Raw genomic sequence first — 21379 nt, 5'->3', positions numbered from 1 at the left:
CAATGAAAACAGACAGCAACAAAGGACCAGCTGTGAGTTTTTTTAAATACATACATACATGGTTGGCAGTAAGAAACTTCCAGGTTTAACAGTGAAGAGGAAAATTCAGTGGCATTTGACATGATCAGTCTCAATGCCTAGAGCAGGCAGGCATCTGGTCCCTGGTTTTCTCATTAGTCGGGTTTTCTGGAAAGCTGAAATGATGGGAGAAGCATAGAATTCAGTTCATCCCAGTGCTATGGAAAGAGACCCAGAATGAGAGTGAGGGGACAATTGTTCAAGTCCTACGTCTTCCACCAACTAACCGTGTGGCTGTTGTTCTGAGTGTCAGGAAAACTAACCCGTTAACAGCATGCAAGAGACAAGCAAGCTAGTAACAAGACAATCTGTGACGACCTCGAAGCTACTCAGATTTCATTGTACCTCCACACCCCTTATAAAAGAATCTCCGCATACGAATATTGAACCTAAGAAAGCCCATCCCCACCCCACAAGTTTGAACCAGAAGACTTCTGAAAAACGCAAACGACACTCCCTGTGTGAGTTCAAACATGTCCACACATTCTTGGAGACATCCCCCATGAGGAAGTAGAGTCTAGTTCTCCTCCCCCTGAATATGGGCAGGCTCTAGTGACTTGCTTGCAATGAATAGTATGTGTGGAGTGATGCTGTGTGGCTTCCAAGACTAGGTCATATCAGCGGATACAGTGTCTGCCTGGTTCTCTCTCAAGATGTTTATTGTGGGAGCCTACTATGCTGTATGGAAGCCCGGGCCACTTGGAGAGGCCACATGTAGGTGTTCCAGCTGAACGAAGTTTGGGCAGTAGCATCCTGGATTGCTTTGTAGCTTAAGGAAAGTTTGGCAAGGCCACTGGGGAGTCCTCCAGCCAAAATTACCCATCAGAGAAGTCCTGCATTCCCCACGAGCACACTGGCCTTAGCATCCCTGTTGTGTCTCATTGGCTAAGAGCAGCCAACGGTGGGCCTGGCTTCAGTGCAAACATGGTAATGAATTCTAGGGCACAAACAGCTTCTGATCACACATGCACTCAACTCAACTGGAGCAAGGGCAGGCCTGTTATCAGAACCATGGTAACCCTTGCAATCTGTGAGCTGCAAATAACCAGTGCTTGGTTATGATTGCTACAGATACACAGTGGAAACGGGAGCATTCAGAGCCACTGTGAGAAGGCGTCCACCACAACTCTCTTCCTAGAGTTACTCCCAGGATCAGTATGGATTTCTGACATCTTATTTTCCATTTGGCTCAGTGCCTTTGCCCTCGATGACTCAGAGGGTGGCATCCCAATGCAGGGCTGAGAATTCCCATTCTGAGACTGACCATGGCAGAACCAGGATCACTCCAATCCAAGCCCTGAAGGAGGAGCCATGAGTGGAGACAGGGAGGCCAAGCACCAGTGCTGACTTGAGAGAACCCAAGAGCTGCTCATGGGAAACAGACCCAAGTTCAGAAGGCAAGGGGAGGCACAAACCTCATAGGACTAACTTGGGGCTGAACAGAAGGGGCCAGTACTGCCATAAATGACTTTGGGAGGTCTCTCACCTTCAGTGAGAGTAGGATAAATGCACTTATCTGGAGAGCTTCACTTTCAAAGCCAAGGAGAGTAACTTCCCTTTACAAACTGTTTCAAGATCAGAAGCAAAACAGGCTACAGGACATAGGAACTTGTAACCTTTAAATGTGAAGCATATAACTTAATCAAAATGAAATGACTTTCAGAATAATAGGTAATACCCTGATGATTTATGAACAAATTTAGTTGAGCAAACAGCTATTTATTGCCACCCACCCCCCCCCCCCACACACACACACATAACAAAGCCAAAAGGCAATGTTGATCCATCCAGAATCCTATGCTGTTAACTTTGTGATCTGATCCTTCAGGAAATAAAGTATATGAGCTAGATCTTTTTAATTTTTTAAATTTTGGTTAAGGTTATATCTCTCATGATCTGAGTGGTTTCTCTTTTTGATTTGGCTGCCAGGAAGCTCAGAACCAAACTGACAACTTATTATGACAACTATATATAATCTTATACTCTGCTTTTTAAAACCCTATTTCTTTGCTTCCTCCCACCACAGCTACCCTCTCTGTGCTAAACTGTACCTGCCATAATACACATGTCTTATTCTTATTCCCATTTCTCTTTCAATGGTGATTTTTGTTCAAATACATGATTTCCTGTGCATACTTTTTGTAAAATATTTCAAATTCATTATGAAATGACAATATTAATGGTACAACAAGAAAGCTAAACTTTATTGATTGGTACCGTGTGCCAAGTATTAAATTTTTTTTTTGAGACAGGAGACTAATTTTTTAAAACCCAACAGCATATTTAATGCATACTTATTTTTTACTTTCCTTTTTAAACTTTTATTTTAAGTTCAGGGGTACAAGTGCAGGTTTGTCACATAGGTCAACTTGTGTCATGGGGGTTTGTGCTACAGATTATTTCATCACCCAGGTATTAAGCTTAGTACCAATTAGTTATTATTCCTGATCCTCTCCCTCCTCCTCACCCTCTAAAATGCTCTCTATGTATTATAGACACTGCAGAGACAGGTGCTATCATTCCTATTTTATAGATGAGGAAATTGAGGCTTAAGGAGTCACTTGTTCCAGGCTATAAGGAGAGTAAGCGATTAAGTTTGACTTTTGACGATCTGGCTCCTGAGCTCCTGTTGTTCTTCCCTACTGTGCTGTTGGCCTTGATAGATTAGAAAGGGACCCAGTCAGGCAGCCAGCAGCAAGTTAACACAGGAGTGCACAGGCACACATGCACACACATGGGCACACACGCAGGCACACAGACACACACATGGGCACACGTGTGCACACACATGGGCACACATGCACACACACGTATGCACACATGCACACAGGGGTATGCACACACATGGGCACACATGCACACACACGTATGCACACACACACACACACACACGAGGCTCCTCAGAGGCAGATGTCTCAGGGCATCACCTTCCCTGCTATTTCTCCAGACTTGAACACAAGTAGGGGTGGCTGCAGGATGCCAGTGAGAAGTACGATCCACAGAAGAAAAGGAGCCCAGAAGAGGCTCTTGGCAAAGGCCCAGCTGGAGAAGAAGCTGTGGCCCTCCTTGACCCCCACGGGGCTTCTCTCTGCTCTGTTAGTACAGCTCTCCGTGCTGTCGGCAATGGCACTGACATTGTTGTGCGGTGGAGAATAGTATGACTTGGTGCCCTGCGAAGCCCCGTGGCTAACAGCTGAGCCAGCTCTGCAAGGGAAAAAGCCAGGGGCCAGGAACGGTGTACATTGATCGTGCTACACTAGTGCGGCTCAAAAGTCAATATCTGCTTGACATGCTGCAGAGAGTCCTCAAGCCCACTGGGAGTCCAGCTCCTCAAAAAATGTGCTTTCCCTTTTCTTCTAGATGACGAAGTGCAGAAAGAAAAACAGATGAGACACTGGTGGACCCAGCAATATATCAAGTTCTTAATTTATTTCTGAGTAGTAGTATTTTTTGAATCCTTTTGTAAGAATTCTAGAGTATGAATGTTCAGGCAGGGAGCTAAGATTTGCAGTGTATCTGCCAAGCACTCTGTACCATGCTAAACTCCTCTCAGGTGAGCATTTGATTTAATGTCCATGGTCTATTAGGGAAACCATAATTTCCGCCTTGTGTTTTGGGGGTAATATGGTTTGGCTGTGTCCCCACCCAAATCTCATCTTGAACTGTAGCTCCCATAATTCCCACATGTTGTGGGAGGAACCAGGCGGTGGATAATTGAAACATGGGGGCAGTTCCCCCATACTGTTCTTGTGGTACTGAATAAGTCTCATGAGATCTGGTGGCTTTATAAGGGGAAACCCCTTTCACTTGGCTCTCATTCTCTCTTGTCTGCCACCATGTAAGACGTGCCTTTCACCTTCCACCATGATTGTGGGGCCTCCCTAGCCACATGGAACTGTGAGTCCATTAAACGTCTTTTTCTTTATAAATTACCCAGTCTCGGGTATGTCTTTATCAGCAGTGTGAAAACAGTCTAATACAGGGGGAAAGCCCTTGGTTTGACACACCACTCTTGGCCCTCCTCCCCTCCTTGTACCCTCCAAGACAGGAAGAATGGCTTAATTGATGAAGGATTTGGGGAGAGGAACAGAGTATATGTGGCATTGTCCCTTTCTCTGCTTCTCTTTGGGATGGACCTGCTTGCAGAGAGTCTCCATTCAGCTCTGTCCTTCTACTCCTTAAGTTTAACTGCAGCAGGCTCTGCTCCTTCTGGGACCACTAAGTGGCAGTGTGCTTTGAATCTCCACTTGCCTTGTCTGAGAAGATAGTCTGTCTCCATATGGTTTCGGCGTTCCACAGCTCACCGTTGCTGGCTTGCCATGAACCCAAGCACATCCTCCAGCCTCGCTTATGAAAGTCCTAAAGGTGGTGTTTTCATCTCCATCTACCTGACTCCTGTGTCCTTTTCTCAATTAGTGTCAAACTTCATCAAGGAACAAAGATTTGATGTGTTCATACATCTCCAAACCCCAATACAATCCTATAAGATAGATATTATTAATGTCCCTTTTCAAAGGAAATAGAAGACAGAGGTTGAGTCATTTGCCCAAAGAAACACATATGTGGTAGGCAGAGTATATACTCCCAGATGTTGATTCCAGAGCCTGTGTTTTTAACCATTAATCTTTCTTTCTTCTTATTTTAATCTCATGCCAAGTCCATTTGAAGGATTATATCTATATCAGAGGGAAAATAAAACTTAAGGATCTTCCACACAGTTATTAAAAGCCAAATTTGTGTGATTTCAAAGCATTGGTACTTTTCATTCTATTGGGATACACTGGGGGTTCTACATTTTAATTTTTTTTTATTGGCATCTTGCACATTGAAGTGATCTGAGATCCTGAGACCACATCCCAGACCCATTTTCTGTGAATGTTGAGATCAGGGGCCTCATTGAATAAAGGAACTATGTCTAGCCCTATAATGCAGGTCTCCTTGACATACTGACAGATTGTAAGGGCATACAAGGTACTCCAAACGAAAGATATTTTGCTATGCCTCTCAGTGAGGATGACGACTTGGGAATCTCCAGTGGCTGCACCAAGAAGTAGTTGCTGATAAACTCAGACAGGGTCAAGTTTTCCAAAGATAAATCACTGGAGCATGAAGAGAAGGCAGTTGACTGGATGGCCTCTCCAACTCCCCGTTCTAGTGCCTTTTTTTTTTTTTTTTTTTTTTGAGATGGAGTCTCACTCTGTCACCCAGGCTGGAGTACAGTGGTGCAATCTCAGCTCACTGCAACCTCCACCTCCCAGGTTCAAGCGATTCTTCTGCCTCAGCCTCCCGAGTAGCTGGAATTACAGGTGTGCACCACCACACCCGGCTAATTTTTGTATTTTTAGTAGAGACAGGGTTTCACCATCTTGGCCAGGCTGGTCTTGAACTCCTCACCTCGTGATCCACCTGCCTTCGCCTCCCAAAGTGCTGGGATTACAGGCGTGAGCCATGGCGCCCAGCCTCTAGTGCCTTCTCCTACCACGTTGATTTCAGCAATGCTGCTATAAGCTTGAACAGTGCCAGGGTAGCAGATACGACACCCATGTGCCACAAAAACTCAAATGTAAAAGAAAAAGTCATTTTCTTTAATTGTATGAAATTCAGTTTAATTTCTGTCAAGCTCCTCAGGCAAAAACGACAGAAGGAAACTAATCTTACTAAATGTAGGTGAGTTCATTGACTTCAGCATTTTTTTATCCTATCTTCTTCAGGGTTGCATCCAAGTTCCAGGGATGGTAGGGAGGGGGATCTAACTCTTGGCAATCATCTGTCTTCTTCAGCATCTTCTATGCAGTCTCAGTCCTGTAGGTCCCTGGTCAACAGTATCTGCCCCTGCTCCCATTCAGGAAGTCTCCAGCAAAGGTAAATGTTGGTCACTATAATTGTTCTCCCTGGGGCTGTGGAAAATTCACTGGAGCTGTCTCAAGCCTTCTGTGACTCAACAGGCCTCACCAACATGGTTGCCACTGCCCATGGTACCCACCCAAGCACAGGGATAATCTGGGACCCAGAGCTCTCCTAGGACCCAGCAAGGAATGGATGGATGGGAGGAATGAGTCCCCTCTGTTCCAGATCTCCAAGTGTATCCAGAGGGTCTATCACTGAAGCTCCACAGGGGAAGAGCAGCAGAGGACAAGGACACTTATTGGAGTCCCAACAGGCTCTAGCTTCTCCCCTCATGCTCACCATCTTTACCTAACCCAGGGAATTAGTACCTCTTCTAGATGAGACAAGCTAGTCTCTTGGATCTTCTTACTCTCCCTGACCTCAGCTTTGTAAACTCACAAAAACTCAAAGTACAAAATGCAATGCCTTTGTGCCACTCTGACAACCCTCCCCCCGGGCAATGAGTGCCTCATAGCTCAGTTTGAATGGATCAGGTGGGTGGTGATAACGATGGAGTTAAAAGGGATTATAAGATATTTATTAAACATATGTAACAAATGCCCATAAAAACATCTGTTCAAGAATTTCCACAGTATTATTTAAATAACCCTGTATTAGTTATCCACTGCTGCATAACAAATTTCTCCAAAACTTAGTCCCTTGAACAACCATATGTATTGTCTCACAGTTTCTGCTTAGCTGGGTCCTCTTGCTCAGGGTTTCTCACAAGGCTGCAATTACCATGCTGGTCAGGGAAGCCGTCATCTCAAAGCTCCACTGGAAAGGGATCTGCTTCTAAACTCACTCATGTGGCTACAACAGTGCTCCGTTCCTCGCAGGCTGTCAGTCTGAGGGCCTCAGTTCTTCCCTGGCTGCTGGTTATGTGTCTTCCTCAGTTCCCTGCCACACGCAACTCTGGCTTACAATACCGTGGCTGTTTTCATCACAATAGGTGAGTGGGAAAGTAAAAATAAGTGAGAGAGCAGAAGTCACAGCCCTACAACACCTAATCTCAGAGCTGACATCTCATCCCTTTCTCCAGTATTCTCCTTGTTAGAAGCAAGGCAGTGGGTGTGGCACACACAAAGGGAGGAGATTACACAAGGATACAAACATCTGCAGGAGTGGACCACTGGGAGCCATTTCAGACTAAACTGGAAGTAACACATATGCCCCTGGGTGAATGGATAAGCAACAAGCAACGTGTGATGTATTCACACAATAACATAGCACTCAGCAGTTTAAAGGAAGAAACTACGAATGGACCCACAACACAGATGAACTTCCAAAACGTTATGATGAGTGGAAGCCAGACACAAAAGAGTACACACTTTAGGATTCAATGTTATGAAGTTTTAGAACAGGTTGTCTCTGGAGAGGAATTGACTGGAAAGGAGCACAAAAGAACTTTCTAGAATGAAAGGTATCTTGACTCGCGGGTGGTTATGTGGGTATATTCATATGTCAAGATTCATACAACTGTACAGTTAAAAGCTCTGCATTTACCACATGTAAATTATGCTTCAGTTTATGCTTTTCACAAGGCTTCCATCAGTACCTCACAATATTATTCCATGACACCAGTACACTCCAGTTCTCCCCGCCGGAGAAGGAAGTGTAGCCGCAGATCAGACTTACTTCCTGGGTGGCCTTGGGCAACCTCTTAAACTCCTCTGAGCTTATCCATCTAGTAAGCATTTGCATTCTTTGTGAAGCTTGCCAGAGGTAAAGAAGAAAGAGAACTCAGTCAGCTCTCTCTAAGGGCCTATGGCCTAATGGGAGAGACACACATACAAATGAATATAAGGTTGGGAGCTATGAGTGCTGGGATGGATTAGTCATGTCTGCCCTGGGCATGGAATATGAAAGTGGTATTTGTCACCCCTGCTTTATGGGATTAGAAGGCTTAAATGGAGTGTCTGTTTCCTGGTTTCTGTTAAATCTGGTGGCAAGACCTCCCTACTGCCTTGTTCAATGTAATTTAATTCAACAGACATTTGTTAGTTGCTTTCTGAGTGCCAGGCATTTATATTCAAAAACTCTTTAATTTCTATTACATGTGCATATGGCTATTACGATCATCAGTGTTGGCCCAGTTTAGAGATGCTTTCTAGAGGATTTTACTATGAACTCCCCATATAGGGCAACCCCACATGTCATTTTTCAATCCTTAAAAATTCGACACAGACTACTGGCAATATATATGGCAATATAGAATCTGAATTTTTCTCTGGGGTTATTGACTGTACTTATGAAATCTGTATTTCTGAATTAGTAAAGGTGTGGCTGAGAAGCCCCTTTACAATGATTCCACGGCTTCATCAAACACCCTGCTGTATATGAAGCTAAGCTTTCCTGTGCTGTTGCACTATGTCCTCACCACTACCCATCGTCTCTGTTATCTCCATGAATCCCATTTTGGAGATGAGGAAATTAAAGCTTAGAAAATTAGGGGTTTGCTAATGACCCAGGGCTGTAAGTGACAGAGCTGAGCCTCAATCTGTATAATCTCTCCTGTCTTATTATAACACAGTCTTTATGGCTCAAAAAAAAAAAAAAAAAAATTCTGAGCTAAGTCTTTCTGAGCACTGCAAAGTCCTAAACGTCATGCTCACTGAATGTCAGTTTCCCCAGTTTGATCAAAGCATTGCTACTCTGTGACCTTGGACAAGTCATTTCCCTCTTGGGGTCCCGGTTTTCTCATCTGTGAAATGTGGGTTGTCAACTTCATGACATAGAGTTTCTTAGACAACATTTTATGATGCATATTTCCAAATCAAGATGGTAGATTTCTAAGAAAATTCATGCATACCTTACCTGAGGCATATATTAATTTAATAACACTCCCTCGTTGATAATTGGGTTATCATTTTCTCTCAGTGCCAAGTGGGAAAATGATCCTCTTTCAAGGTCATTAAAAGTAGAGGCCAAATGAATCATATTTTCAAGGCATCATGCCACTGCCTTCCTCAGCACTAATGTATACTAAAAGCAATATTTAGCATCTGGATTTTGAGGACCTGGAGCTGAATTACATTTCTAAATCAAAATGTAGGAAAGTTCACATTCAGAAGGATTTTACCATAATCCAATAGTACCTTAATGGGCCTTTAAGCCTCAAACCACATTTTAACCCCTGAATTCTCGGAGAGAGTTTGGTCATATCATTTTTCAATACAGATATTTCATGGTCTATTGATTTTATCCAGGAATAAGAAAAGGCACTTAAGGAAAAAAGGAATTTGGCTTAATTTCTAAAACTAAATGGATCCTGGGCTGCGAGGTTTAAAGAAGTCTTGTATGCCAAACGCAACGCTGAATGAATTACATATAAACAACTGGACCCATGTGAACAGTGACGATTGTTTCCTTTATAGAAGATCACAATAGCTGCACTTCATTGAGGACAAGAGGATTTCTCCATTGTGCACGGCTAAACTGCAAGATGAGTGTGTTGAGTTTTGAGCACCTAGAATATTTCTCCCTTCACTGTTTAGAGTTTTAAAAGAAGAAGAAAGCAAACAAGGGGTAGGAGAAAGTAGAAAAGAAGAGAAGAAACTGAAGGAAGTGCACTTATGGGTGGAGGTGAGCTGCTTCCTGGGCCCTAATCTGTCCACGTGGTTTGATTTCTCCTTAGGCATCTTGACAGTGGCTCCCTTTATTTGAACCTTTCTTGATTAGATTAAGAAAGCAGAGCTACTACAGAAAGGAAGGTAAGAGGCGAGATAGAATGATAAAACCTTGGCCTTGGAAGGGACTTTAGAAACCTACAGCCTTTATATATTTTCATGTACAGATAAGAAAACCAAGACAACTGAAGACCAAGAGGTGAAGAGATTGCCTTCAGCCTCTCAACTTGGAAGTGGCACAACTGGTACAAAATGTTGATCTACCTTTTCCAGGCACCCCATGATGGCATCCCATGATGGCATCTAATAGTGTACCCACAACCATCCTTGAACATTATAAAAATCTTAGGTCTCTGTCAAACAATAAAAGGTTAATATAGAAGAGATTTCAGATCCTAACAATACGATGAACTGAGTTGAGAGATAAGAATCAGAACCAGGTTAGCCACTCATGTTCAATAACTACAAGTTATCAACAGGTGCCAGCAAGATACTCTTTCTTAGTAGATGAAGGTCAATATCACATCATTTAATCAAAATAATCAAATACCTTTTTAACACCTGCCATGTGTCATGGGAAGAGAGGGAGGCAGGAAGAGAAGAAGGGGAGCAGAATGGAGGGAAGAAAGATCTATTTACAAGACTCCGTGGCTATTTAGTAGCCAGAACTCAAACCTACGGAGACCTGTGATGAACAGTCTCACTACTACAGCTCTGAAGCAATGAATATATTTCTGTATCATAACAACTACAGAGGAAACCATAGACGAAAATCCAGAACCTCTGCCAACGAAAGACAGCATGCAACACCCAAGTCAAGTGATCAGAGATGTTTTTGTACGTTATCTGAGACCAGAAATCCAAAAGGAGAAGTCAAATCTAAACAGCTGAGTGGTTAAAAAAAAAAAAAAAAAAAAAAAAAGTTCACCACTCTCTACTTCTGCCGTGAAGCATAACCTGCATTTACTGATTCAGCAAGCACATTTCAAGTGCTTGCTTTATGCTGGGTTCTGCTAGAGACTGAGGATAAAGCAGTAAACAAGGCCAACGAGCTCCGTGTCATCATGGAGCTGACAGCTTAGAGGGCGAGACAGGCACAATACAGAGGTACCAAAAGAGAAAACTTGGCCTTTCTAAGGGGGTGATGTTTCATGCAAGACCTGAAGCAGAAAAAGGTGCCATCCCTGGGGAGAATGCAAGAAGCTGCAGCCCGGGCAGAGGATGAGCCAGCAGGTACAAAGTTCCAGAAGTGGGAGACTTCTGGGTGTGCCCAGGAGCTGCAGGAAGGCAAGTGGGGAGAAGAGAAAGGCCAGCGTATAAGATGAGGCTGGAGCGCTGTGGGCCTGGGTGGGGAGTTTGGATTTTATTCCAAGCACAATGGGAGCCCATTGAAGGGTTTAGTAACAGTCAATAGAAAGGAGCACAAAAGGCCTATTTGAGGGCTCAGCACAGCCCCATAAGCCCTGCATTCAGGACCTCACTAAGCACTCACTGTATTGTCTCCACGGACTCTTTTCACAACAGTCTCTCAGCCCTTGATTTTCTCAGTTCTTTCTCTCCATGGCTCTCTTACGGCTCCAAAATGAACAGGAACAAGGGAGAAAGAAGAAAAGCCCCCAGCCCCCAGGGGCCCACTGGTCTGCCGCACTTGGTGTGCAGATGCGGGTTACACAGCAAAGCGGGGAAAGTGCTGGAGGTCCAACTCCCTGAGCGGCCCCTGTGGGAGGAGGTGGGGGGAGGTGAGAAGAGAAGGCCAAATAACCAGGTCCTGCACCTTTGCAAATGCCAGCCTCCCTGGGATCTCTCCTTCAGAAGGATAGGGAAATAAAGGCCCCAGCAGTAGAAAGTCTGAGCTGTGTCATTTGGCAGGTGCCTCTGGGACTGGGAAGAGCATGGGATCTGGAGTCAGAGATCCCCCTTTCAGTCCTGATTCTGGCTGTGTGACATGTGTGACAAAGGCTATCCCAGACAGGCTCAGTTTGCCCTCCAGATTCACTCTCCATCCTCCTGCACTCACTCTATGCCCAGAAGCCTGGCTCCCCCACCCTCCGGCTTCCACTCGGCTTCCGCCAATAGGAGGCATTGGCAGGAGGCTGGAGGGTTGGAAGAAAGGGAGATCCTGGTATTTGCTCCCCCAGCTCCCTTCCCCTAGGCTGTAGATTCTAGCTGGTGTGTTTCTTTTCTGAAGGCCTTGGCTCCTGCCAGGCAGCCCTGTCCCATATCACTCTCCGGATCCCAGCAGCACAGCGACTTCCCTTCATCCCTGCAGGCCCAGGGGTAGTGGTGGCTTCCTGCTGATGCAAGCTCTGGGTACCTCCCCATCCCTCACTGCCTTCCTCACCCCTGCTCCCAACTTCGGCATTACTACCAGCATTTGAGGGAGCCATCTATTTCCTCCCCATTCCCCAAACAATCCAATGGGCAGTTACTTTGAGTCTCTGAGATTCCATTTTCCCCATTAGTAGCATTCCTTTAGAGAAATTCTTGTGGAAAGTAAGTCAAGCGAAGTAATGCACAGGAATGTCCACAATATCGATAAGGTGGAAACCCCAAATGTCCATCGATAGATGAATGTGTACAGAAACTGTGGTCCTTACATGCAGTGGAATATTACTTGGCCTTAAAAAGAAAGGAAGCACTGATATATGCTACAATGGATGAACCTTGCAAACATTATGCTAAACAAAAGAAGCCACATGCAAAAGGTCACATATTTGTGATTCTATTTATATGAAATATTCAGAATAGATAAACCACAGAGACAGAGTACAGATTGGTGGCTGCCATGGGCTAAGGGCTTGGGGGTTACATAAAGAAACTGCTTAATGGATAAGGGGTTTTACTTTGGAGTGATGGGAATGTTTTGGAACTAGATCAAGATGGTGGTGGCATCATATTGTGAAGGTATTAAATTCACCTTAAAATGGGTACTTTTATGTTAGGTGAATTCCACTTCAATAAATTATCTTTCTAAAAAAAGAACATCAAAAAGGAAAACCCACCCAAGCTTTAAAATGGAAAAAGGAAAAGCCACCAAAAACCATAAAATGTTAAATATAATAGATAACAGAATTTTTCTGATCATAATAAAAAACATATATAGCTAATGAAACAACACGTACGTAGCAAGACAAAATTTTAATGTAACTAACACAAGGGCAAAATGAAAGGGCCAGGCTATGAGCTGGTTGGGTTGAGACGGGAAGAGATTTCAGTTGGTGGCAAGAACCGGCAGGAGCCAGGCCTTTGTCTGAAGAATGAAGGTCAGGGCTTTCCAGGCCAGAGGAGGGCACAAATAAAGTTTCTAAGGTAAAAGTGTCAAAGCCTTGGGAATGGGGGTGAGCAGTCTATAGGCGCAGAGGGAGGAGGAGATGGAGAGTGGGGATAGTTGGCCAAAGCCAAATTATCCAGACTCTCAAAGAGTAGGTCCAAGCTTCCTACTAGAGGGGAACAGGGGATCCTGTTAGGGTTTTGAGCAGAAAGCTGGCATGAATCAAGGGTAATTTTAGGAAGATTTCTTTGGCAGCATGTGTGAAACTGGAGGGGACAGGATTAGAAATGATTAGGTAGTTGTCCTACACTCATAAAGTACCAGTCAAGGTGGCAAGGTGGCAAGGTGGCAGTTGGAATTCCTTGGGAGTGAAAAAAAAAATTCATCCATCATGGACATATTTCACTTTTTCTTTTCTTTTCTTTTTTTTTTTTTAGAGGCAGGGTCTCACTCTGTCACCCAGGCTGGAGTGCAGTAGCATGATCATATTAATAGTTCACTGCATCCTCCATCTCCCAGGCTTAAGTGATCCTCCCGCCTCAGGCTCCCGAGTAGCTGGGACTACAAGTGCACACCACCAGGCCTGGCTAACTGGATTTATTTCACTTCAAAAGCTAAACGGATAGACTGATGGGGAGGCAGTCACGTATACAGTGCAGTATTTCCCAAACTGCATCCCAAAGAAGCTTTTCCAAATAGACTTGAACAATGTCTTGTTAAACAAAATCAAACAGGTTTGTTTACCACAGCATTTCTTGAAAGCTTTAATCTACAAACATACGTCTGTAAATATCCAGGAATAGAGCTGCCAGATGTAGGAGGGTGGGGGAGGACACTGCTCAATTTGAATTGTATGGTACACACTTACACTCACAAACCATTTGTTATGTATCTGAAATTTCTAATTTAACCTGGTGTTTGTATTTTATTTGGCATTCCTAAGGAGGGAGCTATAATCTACAACTGTTCTCAAGCATTTTTTTTTTTATCACAAAACCCCTTTTAATGGTACATGCATAGGACAGATATTCCACACATTAGGCCACACTTTAGCAAACACTGGTATAGTGGCAAATCCATTTACACCCGAGTCAGGCAGAAGGGGATCAAATAAAATCCCAACCCTGACTCTGGCTGTGTGACCCTGGCTAAGTCACATAATCTTCCTGGGTCTCAGTTCCCTATTCTGTAAAATGAAGATAATAATAATGACTTCTCAGGGTCACTGGGAAGTTTAAATGAGATGATGTAAATAAAAGTTCAGACCAGTACTGGGAACATGCACTTCTTTTCCATAAGTGCTGGTGAGCACATGATGCCACCATGCTATGGGTAAGGCATCAGTAGGTGGCATGTGGGAATACGGCTTATAAAAGCTTTGCCTTCAACCATTAAAAAGAAAGAAGTCAGCAAAATATATTTTTTGGCAAAGAAAGGCAGCATCTCAGACGGTGAGAGGTATGTGCAAAATAAGTGAACGCTTTAGGCCACTTACAAACTCAGATTTGTCGTTCAAGGTGGTATATATGTTTATCATCTTTCCAGGTGAGACCTCCTAGGGTGGTCCACAGGGATACACAGGAGTGTCGTGAAACCTGAGTGAGCTTCCAGCAGGACACACACACCAAGCTCTGTTTTGTAGCTGCAGAAAGTGAGGAATTCAAAGCAGTGGAGGGCACTGCTGCGGGGGCCCGAGCCTGGGGAAAGAGCCTCCAGAGCAAAAGCAGAAAGGACATCAAAAAACACAAGCAGTGGGGCTCAAAAGGATGGCAGTGGATAAGGGTGTTTCAGCCTCCTTCAAACCTCTCTGCTACCTGGGAAGCTGAGGCAGGACTGCTTGAGCTCAGAAGTTGGAGGCTGCAATGAGCTATGGTTGTACCACTTCATTGTATTCATTTCCTTAAGACAACAAAAGTGAGTCTCACAGTTCTAGGGTCTAGAGTCCAACATCACAGTGCTGGCAGGGTCATTCTCTCTGAGAGCTCTAGAGAGACTCCCTCCTTACCTCTTCCTAGCTCCTTGCTGTTGCCAGTAATTCTTGGCATCCCTAGCTTGCAGCTGAATCACACCAATCTCTGCCTCTGACGTCACGTTGCATTTTCTCTTTGTCTACATCATCTGCCCTATGTATGTGTGTGTCTGTCTCTGTGTCCATTCTCCTCTTATAAGACACGGGTCATAATGGATCAAGGGCTCACCCTACTCCCGTATGCCATCTTAACTAATTACACCTACTACACATCTACTACATACATCCGTCTTTCCAAGTCCTTACTTGGAACCACATTGTGAGGTTCCAGAAAGGATATGAATTCTTGAGAGATACTATTCAACCCAGTGCACTAACTTTCAGAATAATAACAGCAAACACTTACATAATGCTACGAGTGAGACACTGATATCTGTGATTTATACACACTGACTCGCTTTATCCTTGGGACAACCCTAAATGGTAGGTATTATTATAATCACCAGCCTACGTGTGAGGAAATTGGCCCATAGAGTAGCTAAGTCACTTGCTCAGAGTCATTCAGTGAATAAGTAGCAGGGTAAGGATTTGAACCCAGGTGGAAATTTCCAGAATCTGTCCTCTCAATGTTATATTCAAATTATTTTTTAGAAAAGTGGTGTGGACAACAGCTTAAAAGCTGCCTGCTTATAGAGACCAGGAACCTTATAATAAAAATAGAAGTAACCAACAGTTCAATAAAAGCTAATATTTACTGGGGCCCTCATTGTGAAAAGTGCTTTAGGGGTTGGAAGCAGACTCTGTCAATATTCTCATTTTACAGGGGAGGAAACTGAGATCTTGAGAGGGTAAGTATATTGCCCATGGTAACACAGCTAGTAATCTGTGGAGTTGGTTTCTCAAGTATGTTCATAATCAGTATTTTATGTTGGTGGCCAAACCCTCCCATCCACCTTGGGAACTTGGGGACATCTTAATATACCACCAGAAATCCCATTTGCAATGGATCATCCCAGGCTGGAAAACTGGCTTTCGGAGGAAACAAACACAGCTCTGATTTGTAGCATTTGCTGATTTCCATGGCGCAAATACTCCCACTGTGGCCAATTTCAAGCCGGAATGTGATGTCACTGAGCCCAGGGTTGGGAAGAGATGTGTACAATCAGCTCTCATGAGCCTGTCAAGCTGACTCAGTCATGCCCCTGCCCCAGGGATCTTGTGTAAAAGGGTGATGTGGACCCTTGAAAGTAAACAAAGCTCCCGGTCTCCTGGATCAAGACTCAAACAAAGATTCCTTTAGCTTTTAGGTCAAACAGGGAATGTTGGCCCCTTCAGGGCGGGCAATTTCCTAAGCAGGCATGGAATGTGCTTGGTATTACCCCCAGGTTGTCCGTGACACTTACCTTGCATGATTTTTATGAGCATTAAGAAGTAATGTTTGTGCTTAGTATGTAGGAGATGCTTAATAATTAAATCACTACCACATTATTATTATGAAGTCATTATAATGGAACTTGATTTGCATGAAAACTTCCAGCAATTATAATTAAAGCTTTAGGATATTCCAGAGTTGAAGATTAGATAAGGATGATTTACCCCCATTGGACAGTTGAGGAAACTGAGGCAAAGACAGGAGAAGCGACTTGTCTAAATGCATGCAGCAGACAGAGCCAGCCCAGAACCTGGATCACCTGAACCAAGGATGAAAGATGGCAAAGCCAACTTTGAGGCAGTTCATTTCATCCAAGTGGCAGAGCATGGAGCAAGTCCAGCAAGATAGAGCAAATCTGAAAATCTGGGAAATCAAGTTCAAGGTAGAAGTCTAGAGGCAAACAGGTAAGTATTTGTGCTCTGACCTTTCTGCCCAGTGCTGCCTGTCTCACCCATACACACATCTCTCTACTGCTCGTAGAGGAGCAAGGTGGCATGACTGCAAATGCCAGGGAATTTAGGGGGCAACGATCCTTTTGAGGATGGTGACCCTATCAGGAGAAACTGTTTAATCCTACCCACACTCCCAGTCTTTCATTTCCTCCATCCCGGCTGTCAACATAGTTTTATCATTCATTTTGTTTGACTTTGAATTTTGAGGGGATTACACTCACAGGAAGATGCAAACAGCACATAGAATAGTCCCTTCAGTCCTTCATTCAGATTCCTCCTGCTGTGACATCATTTCTGACTCTTGCACAATATCAAAACTGGAAAATTCACATAGTGCAGTACTGTTGACTAGACTACAGACCTTGTTCAGCTTTCATCAGTTTTTGCGTGTGCGTGTGTGTGTGTGTGTTTGCTAGTTCAATGCAATTCGATCCTTCATATAGATTTGCATAACCACCACCAAATAGGATACACAACAATTTCTTCACTCCAAGTAAACTCCCTCTTGTGACCCTTTACATATTCATCCTCCCATTCCTGTCTCTGCCCCCGGCAACCACCAAATGGTGTATGTTACATAAATGGAATTGTATAATATGAAACCTTTTGGAATTGGCTTTTTTTTCACTCAGCATAACGCCCTTATCCACGTTGTTGCATATTATGGGTTGAATTATGTCCCACCCAAAATTCAGATGTTGAAGTCTCAACTCCCAGTAGCTCAGAATGTGAACTTATTTGGAAAAAGAGTCATAACAAATATAATTAGCTAAGATGAGGTCAGACTGGAGTAGAGTGGGCTCCTAATCCAATATGGCTGGTGTTTTATAAAAGAGAGATTTGGACACAGACACCTCACAGAGAGAACACTATACAAAGACTGGAGTTACACTGCCCCAGCCAAGGAACTACCAGAAGCCTTCCCTAGTGCCTTCACAGACAGCATGACCTCACGTGCTCCGGACACTTTGATCTCGAACTTTTAACTTCCCAAACAGTGAAACAAATTTCTGTCACTTAGGCCGCTTCATTTGTGGTACTTTGTTATGACAGCACTAGTAAACTAGTATATTGCATGTCTCAAAACTTTGTTCCTTTTTATTACTGAGTGGAGTTCCAGCGTATGGATACATGAGAGTTTCTTTCAACCATTCGTCCATTGAAGGACATTTGGATTGTTTCCAGTTCTAGGCTATTACGAATAAAGCTGTTATGAATATTCATATAAGGTTTTTGTCTGAAAATAGGTTTTGAAAATAGGTTTGTATTTCTCTGAGAAAAATGTCCAAGAGTGTAACTACTGGGGATTAAGACAAACATATGCTTAGTTGATAAGAAATTGCCAAACAATTTTCCCATATTATTAATTTTTATAATGAGTAGACTCTCTCCAACCTCTGATAAACACTCCTTCCATTTTTAAAAATAGCAATAGACTCTGCAGGGAAGTTAGGAGGAGGGAATGGATGGGGTTGCATCTAGAAAACATGCAAATGCAACAAAAATATGGCATTCTGATAACTTAATGCTGACAATGGCAAAGTGGATTAACTGAAAAGCGCCACGGTCAATCTTGGTTGTCTGAATGAAGTCAGCAATTCAATAATCATTGATTCAATGCTTGCCACGTGCCGGCACCAATCTGGATTCTGGAAAGACCACACAAACTAGGATGGAGCCTTATTCCTCAGAATCACTCCTCCTCTTGTGAGAGAGAGACATGTACACAAATAACCATCATGCCACTGAGTATGATGAAAGGCAGGGAACTGGGAAACACGCACAATCCCAAACAGCAGATAAGACCCAAATTACAAACACTGAGTGTACGGGACAGCCTTGCTGCCTTCCTGATTTCTCCTTACTTAGCATGTTATTGTCTGATACATAAGAAAGCAGCTTGGAGATAGGGTTGAGATGAAAAATGAATTCTGGACAAACCAGAAAGTGAACATCAAGACTCAGCAACACTTTTTGAAAGCTTGAGCACCTGGAAACAGAGTATGACAGTTGGATTAGTCACAAAAACAAGAAGTGTTTTATGGGATTATCTGGATTCTGCGCCTGGGTGAATCCATCTACTTAGGGATGGCCTACCTCTCACGCTCCCAAGGGCTTCTTGCAGGGGAACACATTCACCACCAGCCAGTTTTCCTTGTCAATCCACCACTTTTTTCCCTCTCTGCCCTGCAAAGGAATAAAGCCTAAGGAATTCAGTCTGGGCCCTGATTAAGGGCTTACGGGCAAGCCCTTGGCCTTCACGGTCTGAACTGAGAGCTTTTAAGGTCCAAACAGGACTGACTTGGCATTTAATCAACAAAGCTCTTTTAAATAAAGTGAATAGGTTTCACTTGCCCTAACCTGAGAAGAGGAATTTTATTGACCTAAAACACCTCCATAAATGCTTTACCCCTTGACTTGACCTTTGTGAGTTTTAGCCTGAGCTCAGGATGATACTTGACTTTCGAGTGTTGATGTTCTTGGCCTGTCTTCTGTTCACATGACAGGCGGGGGCGCCAAGAGAGTCATAATGGCGGGATTAGTGTGAAGACAGATTTCTGAGATCACAAATCAGAAATGGAATAGGATAGAAACTTCTAGTTACCCCAATATCCATTTCTCTCTTTGCTCTATGGACAGAGAACCTTGGAGTTTTCACTGGGCATGGGAGCCACGGGGAATAATTTCCCAGATTTCCCTGCATCTGGCCTGGTCACATGACTAAGCTCTAGCCAAGGGGATGTGAACAGAAATGATGCCCAGAACTTCCGGGACATAGCTGCAAAGGAAATGAGTGTGCACTGCTCTGTCTCTTTCTGTCTTGTCTCAGGAAAAGCCAACGTAGTGGAGAGCCATTTTAAAGCATGTATTCAAGGACACTTTCTGAATTGTGAACAAGATGGGAAGATCCTGGGTCCTCACCTCTGTGGAGTCACCTCAACAACCAACTGCTGTTAAGAGAAAAACCTGGGCCGGGCATGGTGGCTCACGTCTGTAATTCCAGCACTTTGGGAGGCCAAGGCAGGCGGATCACCTGAGCTCAGGAGTTCTAGACCAGCTTGGGCAACATGGCAAAACCCCATCTCTACCGAAAATACAAATATTAGCCAAACACAGTGGGACATACTTATGGTCCCAGCTACTCAGGAGGCTGAGGTGGGAGGATGACTTGAGCCTGGGAGGCGGACATTGCAGTGAGCTATGATTGCACCACTGAACTCCAGCCTGGGCAACAGAGCAAGATCCCGTCTCAAAAAAGAAAGAAAGAAAGAGAGAAAGAAATTAGACAAACTACATTTAACAGAGTTTAATCAAGCAAAGAATGATTCACAAGTTGGGCAGCCCCCTAAACCAGAATAGTTTCAGAGAGGAAAAAAAAGAGAAAGTGATGTTCAGAAAACGGAAGTGAGGTATAGAAACAGCTGGATTGTTTACAGTTCCACATTTGCCTTATTTGAACATGGTTTGTAACAGTTGTCCAAGTTTGATTGGCCAAAACTTGGTGATTGGCACAAGAGCAGGTTACAGTCTGTTTAGACATCCAGTTAGGTTACAGTTCACTGTGCGCAGAGAAACCTTTAGGCTGAACTTAGAATATGTAAGGAGACAGCTTTAGGCTAATTTAACGCTGCTTATTCTGGGGGAGTCTTGTGACAGCACAATTAACTTCCCTCTTTCTTATTTGAGTCAATGGTATTTTGGTCTCTGAAATAGCAATTAAATTTGTATTCTGCTAATACATGGAATAAATTCAAGGGAGGGGACCAATTGATGTTGTGGGATGGAAAGAATAGAGAAAACAGGGAAGCAGGCAAGGGTCTCAAAGTGGAAAAGCAAGTGACTGGGAGTGGCACAGTCAAGCATAAGGGATGGCTCACTAGCATTGCAGCACATAGTAGCCACTCAATTAATGTTTGCTGACTAAAAGGTTTTTCCATCACTCCAATGCAACATCCCATTTCTTGCTTCCTGGCCTTTGCCCATGTTTTCCCCATAGCCAGGAATCCCCTCCTCACCCTCACCATCTCCAACTCATGGATAAATTCTACTTATCCTTCAGATTTCCTGTTGGATGGAAATGTCACATGTTGCTTTCCCAGGGAGAGGTCATCTCTGGGTGAGATGGCTCTTCTGCATACACCCCTCAGCACCTCCCCTGCAAGTCTACCTGTCTGCCCATTTGTGCAGCTCCTCCCCCAGACTGAGAATCCCAGGAGGACAGGGACCTCACCTGACTATTAGCCACTGTATCCCCAAGGCCAGCTCCAAGCTGCACATAGGATGGTCACGGACCTTTGATGAAGCGCCAAGCCAGAGATTGGCTTTCAGAGGAGCTGGTTAGACAACAATGACCTGGGAATTTTGGAGGTGTCAGTTCACATTAGTCCCTCTCTAGCAAACTGCCTTTTGGGGAGTCCCAGCCAGGTGCCCAAATACCTCTGTCCTGGGGGGAACCACCAGAGACCTCACCTGCCAGCAGGGGCTGCTCACCACTTATGATCCTTACCGGCGGCCTTCCTCCCTCACCTTCCTCCTCATTCAGGTGGCTGTAGTTGAGTTGGGGGTTTGTTTTTCTCTATTTCCTTCTCACTTTCTGCCTTGGCTTTTATGTTTCCAATTGTCATTCTGCTGTTTAGTGCCAAGTCCCACTGCGCACAGCAC

General features: G+C 44.0%; 1 long non-coding RNA gene across 1 annotated transcript, besides 1 other annotated feature; it reads right to left on the bottom strand.

Moving 5' to 3' along the window:
* Window positions 1-26: 26 nt before the first annotated feature.
* On the bottom strand, window positions 27-19756 carry LOC105378490 (uncharacterized). The gene is made up of 2 exons (XR_946329.2): window positions 14870-19756; window positions 27-194 (listed from the first exon to the last, which is right to left on the bottom strand). It is a non-coding gene; the product is annotated as an uncharacterized LOC105378490 (long non-coding RNA).
* Window positions 19972-20151: an enhancer, noted in NCBI's record as "active region_4069". NCBI's record gives its function as "activates an Ori minimal core promoter by ATAC-STARR-seq in GM12878 lymphoblastoid cells {active_cell/tissue: GM12878}" and the evidence as "EXISTENCE:reporter gene assay evidence [ECO:0000049][PMID:35858748]".

This window comes from Homo sapiens, chromosome 10 (genome assembly GCF_000001405.40).
Source record: "Homo sapiens chromosome 10, GRCh38.p14 Primary Assembly".
In the NCBI taxonomy this organism is placed as follows: domain Eukaryota; kingdom Metazoa; phylum Chordata; class Mammalia; order Primates; family Hominidae; genus Homo; species Homo sapiens.
The sequence above is the reverse complement of the archived record's forward strand: the minus strand, read 5'-3'. Positions and strand labels throughout refer to the sequence as shown.